The following is a 10,277-nucleotide window of genomic DNA, read 5'->3' on the forward strand; positions in this document are numbered from 1 at the left end:
CCTTAGTGAACAAATAGCCCTGATTGACAGCCATAAAATAAGAGAATTATATCATATAATGTCTACGGTGCTTTCCAGTGTGTGCATTTTTAAACTTTGAAATTTCCAGTTAAATTGAGAGGGAGAGATGCTTCATAGCCCCACAAGAGGTGGAGAGGGGGAACCTTAAAGTATTTCCTGAGCTGAAGTTTCCAATGAAGCAGAAGCATGTTGTAAGTCAGTATCCAGACTAGACAAGACTAAAGTGTCCACTCTCTTTATATCAGAGAGGAATCAAACTAAAACTTTTTGAGGGAAGGTTCAGATTGAGAGTTAGTCTGCTTAATAAGGGATAAATGACCCCACCAGCTCATTAAGTGGAACCTCAGGGACTCACCCTGGAGAATGTACAAATGTGCATCTCTCTCTCCTGGACCCTGATGAGCATAGGATAAACATGCTTAATTTGTAATATTCCTTTCTCTGCAACATAAATGACGTATCTTGGGCAGGCAAGGCTGACCCTTTGATATATTTCACCCATGGTAGGATCTTTAAAACATGAAAGTTTGTTCAGAGACCACAGCTCTAAGCCTGTAGATCATTTTGGAGAGGATGGAAGCCAGGTAGCCTTTGGCAGGGCCCCTGGCATGCTTGGTGCTGTCTTGCTTGATGAGAAATGTGTGGTTCCACCGCCGGGGGTGGGCGGGGGGATTATCCAACAATTTATTTCTACACAACAACGGCACATGAAAAAAAAAAAAAAAGGCTTGGCTCAGAATGTGAGAGCTGAAATGAACCTTCAGGGTCACCTCCATCAACCCCTCTCTCCGCAAACAAAGAACACCAGGACCCCACACGGCTAAGTGGGTGGGTCCCGCTCCCATAGCTAATTAACGGCAGACTCAGGTATAGAAACCTGGTATCTGTAATCAAAATGGCCCTAATTCAAAACCTGGTCGGGCCACTCAGTAAGCCATGTTCCCCTCGGTAATTTATCCAGTCCCCCCTGAGCCTCACTTTGCTCCGCCACAAAACAAGAATGACCCTCCTTGCTTTTTAGGGCTCCTCTGCAGATTAAATTCATTAGCACCTCGAACGTTGGAAAGACACAATATTTTCTTGCCCTCCCCTCCTCTTATCAGCTTGAATCGATGCGTCATGAACTCAGTGATTTCCTCTTCGCAAGCCTGCTCTGGATGCAGTCTGGTGTTACATAACCGGCTGGCTGAGGACGCAGGTCCCCTGGGCGCTGCCGGCGCGCTGTGACCAGACACGCGGGCGCGGGTGGGGGGTTCCGTCCAGCAGAGGGCGGCAAAGGACGCCCGGCGCGGTCCCACGGCCCTGCGGGCGAGCAGCAAGCTACTGCGTTCCCTTCGGGAAGGCCTAATGAGCTCTTCCTGCACCGTGTTCTTTTCGGTAGAAGCATTTTTCCTGCCTCACTTAAGTGAGTACACAGTGTTTTGGCAACTGCCATGTGTCCATATTTTTTTTTAGTTTTTGCTTTGTTTGGTTCTGGTTTACTTGAGGGGCGCTCATGACATTTGCTAAGCATTTCCACGCTTATGGTCTTCTCGCAGTTTGATGTCTCCAGTGCCCCAAAAGGAGTCATTTTTATTCCCAATTTACAGATGATGACGGCGATATTCAGATAAGTTTAGTGACGTGGCAGAAGCAGATGCCCTTTCTAAACCAAGGAAGGGGCTGGGATGAGGAAGGGGAGGTATTTAATTTGACCGTTTCTGCCTCCTTCTGTCAGACATATTCGACAGGATTTATTCGGTGCTTGAGGTAAGTCAGGTACTTTTGTAAGTGCCTGGGAACATGAAATAAAAAGGAGGTGGCAAGTCTTCAATTTAATTCGAAAGACTGCATAATTTTTTTGACCTCTGAAAGTGGTTTGGGAGGAGGTAGAGGCTGGGTTTCCTGCAGTGTAGACAGGGTCTGTTACACCCGCTCCCTCCCAGAACTGCTGGATCCCAATCTGCAGTTTCACAAGCCCCCAGGTGACTTATCCACACACTTTAAAGTGTGAGATGCGCAGCCCTGGAGGGCACCCAGGAGCTCCATTCAAATATTTGGAAGGCCAATATTTGAAAGAGTAAGTGTATTTGTTTTGTTTTGCTCTAAAAGATAGGTTTAAGTTTAATTAACATAAGCCACAAGAAAACGAGATTTCCAAATCCTGTAATGAACAGGGGATTTGGAGTCGGGCCTTCTCCTAAACCTTACTAGCTTGTTACTAGTTGCCAGGTGAGTTGAAGCTGGAGGGACTTGGCGAAACTTCTTCTCTCTGATTCTTATGACTCCTAAGATGGGAATGTTGTTCTCTAGCCCCCACTGGGTGACTGCTGTTGGCTTTTCCCCATCGAATAAGATAGGAAATTTGAAAGTTGTAATTATTAACTGCCCGGGTCAGAGATAGAGCGCTCTGCTCTGTGAGGTAGTAAGTGGCTCTTCACACATTGAGGGACAGTGCAAATGGAGGTGGGGATGTATATTTGGGGCTCTTATGAAATTCAGTATGGTTGGGGCATGTAGTGGGGATGGAGGTGGAGGTGAAGAATGCGAGAGCTGATGGCACAATTAGGACTAGAACCCAGAAGTTCACTCATTTCATAGTTATTGTGTTAGAAGTAAGAGCAGTCCCCACAATGCCCCACCCTTAGTTTGGCTCCCCCGCTCCCCCCGCCTTACAGACAGGGTCTTGCTCTGATGTCCTGGCTGGAGTGCAGTGGTGCCATCATAGTTCACTGTAGCCTTGAAACCCCCCTGGGCTCAAGGTGTGAGCCACTACACCTGGCCTGACGCCTTAAAACTAATGCTAGATGACATCTGCTTAGTTGGGAGCATCACAGACCACATACCAGGGGTGTCCAATCTTTTGGCTTCCCTGGGCCACACTGGAAGAGGAAGAATTGTTTTGAACTACACATAAAATACACTAACACTAACAATAGCTGACATGTTAAAAAAATAAAACAAACTCATAATGTTTTAAGAAAGTTTAAGTATTTGTGTTGGGCTGCATTCAAAGCTGTCCTGGGCCACATGCCACCCATGGGCTGCAGGTTGGAAAAGCTTGACCTGGATTCTTCTAGCTAATTGTGAGTATAGGAGAAGGCCGTCTGTTTACTGCTTCTGGAGCCCTCTGCGTAAGTGCAATTAGGAACGAGTGGAAACAATGAGGAGGGGAGCATAAGAATAGCTTGGTTGTGACCACTGGAACCCAAAGCAGCACTTGTCTTGTCAGCGCTGTGTTATCAATCAGGAAGGCAGCCGTGGCTTCTCCCGGGAGGCAGGCACCAAGATGAGGAAGCCTGAAGTTCTGGGCCCTGCAGAGTCCTTTCAGTGCAGGGGGGCAGAGAGAAGGAGCGTGAGGAGACCCACATGGGAGGCATGCAGGAGGCCCTCTGTGTATGTCTATGGAATGGGCCCCTCAAGGAGCCGCTAAGCAGCGGGAAACTCCACCCACTGGCTTATTCTCACCCCTGGGCTCCTCCATCCCCTCACCCTTCATAGAGCCCAAAACAAAGACAAAACTTGTGCCAGCTTCAGAAAGGTCAGTTCTGATTTAGACCTTTGGTCTGACTTGAATGGCATCTCTTAAATACTGAGTTAATTAAAGAAAGGGCACAATCTACAGAAACCCATTCTATCAAGTTCTGCCTCAGAGAACGCCCGTTAGCCTGACATAGGATGTTTCCTTAGTGTTGTCGTTGCCTGTTGTTGGGCCCTCCAGACAAGCTCAGCGCCGTAGTCGCTCCATGTTCGAGCTCTGTTTTGTAAGCCATCTAGCATTTTGCTTCCAAGGGTGGAAGGCTGGAGTGGCAGAGGAGCTGAGAAATGTAATATCAGCCAGTGAGGAATGCAGACTGGAACCTGAACCGTCTTTGGTTTACATAGTCTTGGTTGAAATGATGTGGTCATTTATCTCGATGGATGTTTATCCTACTCAAGACAGTTTCTTCCTAAACCAGGGCAAGACTTTCCCCCTCCCCTCCTTTCTCCACTTCTCTTCTTCCATCCCCTCAGCATTGAATCCTTCCAGTGCCCAGGAATTCCTCCAGATCCTATACGTTCCAGAAACAGGCAACCTCCTGCTCATTCAAGGAATGCTGGAATTTAATACTGTCTGTGCCACCTTTTTTTTTGCCCTGAATGACTGAATGAGTGAATGAATGAATGAATCACATAGAAAACACCTTGTCGTTTCAACTTAATTCTGAAAATACATTCAAATGTATTTTTGTGCTTTTTGCTGAGTTTCTACCTGAAACAGATGCCCATCCTTTTCACACCATTGGCAGTTTCGTGTGATTTTATTTTTTCCCTTCCTCAGATTTCCTGGTTACTTTTTTTTTCAAAGCATGAAGCTGTAAAAAGAGTGTGGGATTTGGAACTGGGCTGCCTGCATATTAGTCCCAGACTTGCCCCCGACTCGCTGACAAACCCTGAGCACGCCACTCACCCTGTGAGCCTCAGTTTCCCCACCAGTGAACAGAGACCCAGCCAAGCTCCCGTGAGTTCTGTGAGGATGTACAAAAAAGAGCTTTGAAAAGGTGACATGCAGATGACTCTCTTTCTTTTCTTTTCTTTTCTCTTTCTTTCTTTCTCTCTCTCTCCCTCCCCACCTCCCTCCCTTCCTCCCTCTCTCTCTCTTTCTCGCTCTTTCTTTCTCTTTCTCTCTCTTTCTTTCTTTCTCTTTCTTTCTCCTTTCTTTCTTTTCCTCTACTGTGTCATCTCCATTTGCTTTCTCTAATGTTCTTCTCTTTTCTCTCCTGAAAACTGGCATTTTAAAAACTGTTGCTGTTGCAATGAGTACTTGCCTTTTAAAAATCTTCAAGTTGCTAAGCAGCGTCAGCCCCCCCTTCCCCTTTTGTGCAGCCTGGTTGCCATAGTATCATCTGAGCATGGTAACAAGAGGCAAAGAGCAATCATTTTTCACTAAATAGGGCTGGGCAGACAGATAAACATGCTGCAGTGTTTCCTTACAACCTGTCTCGAGGAAGGGGGGATGCTGCTCTGTAGTACACAACTCTGTTGCTTTCATCAGCCGCTACCTTGGTTTCCTGTTGGCTGAGAGCGGCTCTCCTCACCTGTAGCTCCTGGCATGTCATCCCACCCCTGGCACAGCACTTCCTAAAAAAGGCTTTTGAAGGGATGCTGCTGCTACTCCCTTATTTGTAGCTATTTAGGGCTAAATGCAGACTCAGATCCTTCTCAGATAGTTGCTAAACATAGAACATTGAGTGTGAATCAGTACTGTGACTAAAGTTTCTTGTGTCGTAGCAGGTTTGGAGAAGATAATTAATAAACGTCATCGGAGTGACATCAAAGGGTGTTCTTCAAAAAATGGAAGAGGTTAAGAGAGAGATGAAAATAAAGAACCTACTTGAAATCAAACATGTATTTGAGAAATTTAAATCCAGATTCCTGTTCTTCAGCTCACAAGGTCAGATACATGATTAGCAAGGTTATGAACTGAAGCACGGGGCAGAGTGGGAAGTTTTTCCCCTTGGTCCATGTAGGCAGGGAATGTCCACAGGTATGGGTTGACTCATTAAAATACTGAGACATTTCCCTCTGCATTGGTGCTGCTCTAGCGCACAGTGTCCTCTTAGTGCCCGGCCACCCTCACTCCAACCCCAGGACCCTAGGGGGTCCCCACAACCCACTGTCAAAGGGTTAAGGCTGGCACAGCATGGGGTTCTCCAGGAGCCTGCAATACCCCCACCCCAGCCCCTAGATCTGAGGCCAGCAACTGTTCTGGTGGGTCAGGGTCCCTGCCTTACTCCCTTGTTAAGTCTTAGGAATATCGGCTCCTAAAGCTACCCACATGTACGCCTAACCTTTTTCTAAATAAGTCCATTTTTCTTGTGGAAGCAAAATTTACTCTTCCAGATTAAGCCATCAGCGGAGTGTGCCGCCCTCTGCAGACACTCAGCCTTCTTTGGGAAGACATTCCCTTTGAACTTGGGTTGCAGGATTGAGATGAACAAGCACTGTCACCCCTACTCTCATGCTCGACTGCCCCAGGACAATGACACACAATTGCCAGGCAGCTGCTTAAAATGAGGAGCTCACTCCATGGCTTCAGGGGGCTGTGTGTGTCGATCCTCTGAGCTGATTTCCCTACATCTTAAACATGCATGGCTCAGAGGGACCTACAAAGAGGCCTTTTCAGGCAAGGGCAGGGCTATCCCCAGACTCCTTTAAACAACTTCTCCCTTAAAGCGGAACCAAGTTTCCCCTTCCATGAGTTTTCCAGGACCTTTCCTATTCTTGTGTTTAACAGTTTCTGCCCTTCTTCCTTCCTGCTGGAAGCCACGTTAGGGCTAATAAAATGTCTTGTCAGAGGAATCCTGGAACCCAGGAAGGGAGAGAAGAGATTCCGCAATCTGCACTGGCCAGGCAGGAGCCTCCGACATCAGAGACAGACGGCATCCATCCAGCGTCTCTCAGAAGGAACTGCAGCTGCCTCCCTCAGTTACCCCACCCAGGGTCTGCTGAGCCTTGCTCAAGGAAAGTGCTCTGTGATGTCTAAGGAATGCCTCGTGGAAGTCTGATTTGCTTTTGTCTAGACTTGGGAGGAAGCAGAGGTTAGCTGTCAGAGTGCCCTGTATATATGCCCTTCTGAATCCCAGCTTTCTCGACTCACCCACCTTATTCGTCTATTTGGACTCCCTGATCAAATGAGAAAAGTTTCCCTGTCCATGTGAGTGGTACCTACCACACCCTCCTTAGCATATTGACTGGTAGGTCCCTTGTCTATAGCCTTGTCTGACTGCATAACAAAGCTGTGTTTCCCAAAAAGAACTCCTTCCCCTTTTCCAGATTCTACAAACTTCCACGCTATCCCTAACTTGACTGTGCCTAGAAGGCCATTGGTCAGAGCTTCACAGGGCTTTGGCTGTTTTGCTGGCCAAGTTATTTTTGGATTCAGTCCCAGTGGTATGCTGATAAATGTTTTATAACTGACTGTCAGGGGTATTGAGGGGGGGGCAGCAAAAGAAGAAAAGCCCTGATTTGTGGCAACTGGCGATTTCTCTTTCCTTTCTTTCTTTCTGTCTGTGTTTCTTTCTTTCTTTCTTTCTTTCTTTCTTTCTTTCTTTCTTTCTTTCTTTCTTTCTTTCTTTCTTTCTTTGTCTTTCTGTCTTTATCTCTCTCTCTCTTTTTCTTTTTCTTTTTTTTGATGGAGTTTCTCTCTTGTTGCCCAGGCTGGAGTACAATGGCACAATCTCGGCTCACGACGACCTCCGCCTCCTGGGTTCAAGTGATTCTCCTGCCTCAGCCTCCTGAATAGCTGGGATTACAGGCATGCACCACCACGCCTGGCTGATTTTGTATTTTTTGTAGAGATGGGGTTTCTCCATGTTGGTCAGGCTGGTCTCAAACTTCCAACCTCAGGTGATCTGCCCTTCTTGGCCTCCCAAAGTGCCGGGATTACAAGTGTGAGCCACCGTGCCCGGCCACATCTGACAATTTCTATGGTGTAAAAACTCCCACCATGGTCAACAATAAACTACCAAACTGGAGTCAGTGAATGCCGGACTGTGGGGAGATGTGCCCAGTTGGTTCTTGTGAGCTGGTGCAAGCTGGCTCTAGCACACCACTGAAGTAAACCCTTCTTCACGGGAACGTGGCTGTCCATCTTTTTTCGTGTTTTCTTCCTGTACCTTGTTTCCAACTAACATCTGTCAGGTGTGCCAATTCTTTCAGCCAGTGGTTTCCAATCTGTTTTTGGACAAAAGTCTTAATGTTCATATAAATAAGTGAAGTACATAAATGCAACAGCAGCCTGGTTGGGAAATTGGGGAAGGTTCTGGGCCCTACACTTTCCTAGAACCAGGGAGAACACTAGGAATCACCACTTTAGGGTATTTTCCTCCACTCATTGATGACTTGAAACAATCCCGAATTCTGTGGCGTATATGACATAGCTCTTGACCCATGATTGTTGTGTTGAACTCTTTGGCATAGTTGAAATGAACAATCTTGTGGATTTACTTGGAACCATTTGTAACACCCATTGTTTTCGGCCAGGAGGGGTTCTCAGGAGCTTCATTAATCAACATAACAATGATGACCTTATATGCACTGCAGGACAGGCAGTTACAGTGGGAGCCCTTGCTCTACCAGGACACCTAATTTAAGTGTTTGTCTACAGCTCTGAATGTTCTCTGGCTTCAGCTGTCTACCAAAAACTGAGAGCTATGAGTCACACCACTTAGCTGGCTGCAGGTTTCCAGTCCTGCTTTTTTTCTCAGTCAATACCTTTCTCTCTCTCTTGTTTTCTCTCTCTGTGTTTGGTATTATTTCATGTTAATTCAGATAGCCCTAAAAGATTTTTTAGTATATTTCCCCTCCAACAGAGTGCTTCCATTTTTATTAATCTATATTAATGTATATGTAATATACATTACATATAATGTAAATCATAGTTTAATGGGAATGCACCATTTAATGCATTTCTTTCATTTTGATGGGAGAAATAGCCTTGGAATTTCCTGAGGCTTCAACAATCAAGTTATTAATAGAGAAATAAAGTAAAAATTATAAAGCAGGAAGGGGGCCTATAAAGAAAGACAGAAGACAGAGTTGCAGGAAGGTTTTCCCAGTCTATGAACCCTTGATATCTCTCTGACCCATCGCTGCTTTATGTAGGATCCAAAGATTCTTCTTGTCCCAGTTATTCAAGGCCATGTTCTTAACTCTGAGAGCAGTTGTTAACTGGGACATATCAATGTTTGGGACTGTCTTCAGGCTAAGTGTGAGTTAAGTGGCCTTTCCAGTCTCCCACGCTGTAGGGAGGTACTCACATGCAAAAGCTTAATAGGCTTTAACTTTATGCTAACAGTGTGAAGTGCTAATAGTTGGATTTCAGACATCAAACTGGTTTAGGGCATAGAATGAGGAAACAACTTCTCTAGATGGATGGCCCTTATCAGCGCCTCCAGAATCACACCTGTAGGTCATTGTTACTTCCATTTGCATGTGTGGCCAGCTGTGTTGGTCCGTCAGGAATGCAGAAGACCAATCTGCCCCACATCTCCATTGTTGCTGGACTTCTCCATTTATACATCCTAACGGGCTTCACACAGAACCTATCCAAAACAGAACCACACAAGTTCAAGTTGTATTCCATGCTCCACATCTCAATGAGCAGTTGTTACTCAAGGTTACCCAGACCACAGGTTAGTGAGTCCCATTTGGACTCCTCTCTACCTGCTCTCCATTCAGTTGTCAAGTTCTATCAACTTCTTTTTCAATTTCCTTTCACATTTCTCTTTCTTTCTAGCTCCAATACTATTGCTCTAATTCAGGCTACTTTAATTTTTTCCTAGTCTGGAAGAATGTTTTATTCATAGGACATTTTCAATAACTATCAGTTAAATGGCTGGACGACTATAGAAGCTTCCTTTTAACTGGCAATCCTGCCTCCCAGACAATTGTGCTATATGCCTTTCATTTATACCCCATGCTTTAATGAAAGTTCTAGAACATAAAGTGGATCATGTCGCTCTTGGAGGTAGTAGCACTGCACACACCATACACCCCATCTTGCTTGTCTTACCCAACATGGTCTCACCTGCTCTTCAATCTGTCCTTCCAAGCACTTACGTAGCATCTGCTGCCTCCACAGGATCTACTGGACTTTGTTCCTCAGTGTTCATCCCACGCCCCAGCCTTACCAAATTCCTGTTTCAATCTGACCCATTTCTGGGAGTTATTTTAGTATCACATCTTTACCTCCACTCGGGATATTGTTTTTCACTTAGGCCTTGTGCCAGATTATCTCTTTCCCCCTTTCTGTGTTCTGGATCACAGGGGCTTCGAAGCCTGGGAACTACATTTCCCAGAAGCCTCCTTCAATTCTGTGAATAGGAAGATCTTAAGTGAAATTCAGAGGTAGAAGAGAAGGAGACAGAAGTATTGTTCCTGTGGCAGCAACAGTCAGGTTTAGGGACTTTTGCAGATGGCCTGCGTGAGATTTGACCATGACTTCCAAGAGTCCTTTTGTAAATCACCTATAGGGCTGTTGCAGGCATCTGAGATCTTGATTAAAGTTTCCTGCAATTCCTGAACTTCCTGATTTCCTAAATTCTTTTTTAATATTTTTACTTTTTAATTATTAATTGACAAATTATAGTTGTAAGTTTTCTTAAATTCTAAAAGCAGCTCTTACTGACCTTTGTTCCCTTAGCCTCCCAAAGGTCTTGTGAACCTTAAACTCCCTGCATCAAATCTTTTCTGCTGGAAATATCTGCAGTGGTTTCTCCTTTCTCAACCAAACC

The 10,277-nt window shown here is 45.5% G+C and overlaps 1 annotated feature.

Moving 5' to 3' along the window:
- Window positions 1,204–1,383: a silencer, noted in NCBI's record as "silent region_5449". NCBI's record gives its function as "represses an Ori minimal core promoter by ATAC-STARR-seq in GM12878 lymphoblastoid cells {active_cell/tissue: GM12878}" and the evidence as "EXISTENCE:reporter gene assay evidence [ECO:0000049][PMID:35858748]".

The sequence above is a fragment of the Homo sapiens genome, chromosome 13, assembly GCF_000001405.40.
Source record: "Homo sapiens chromosome 13, GRCh38.p14 Primary Assembly".
NCBI lineage: Eukaryota > Metazoa > Chordata > Mammalia > Primates > Hominidae > Homo > Homo sapiens.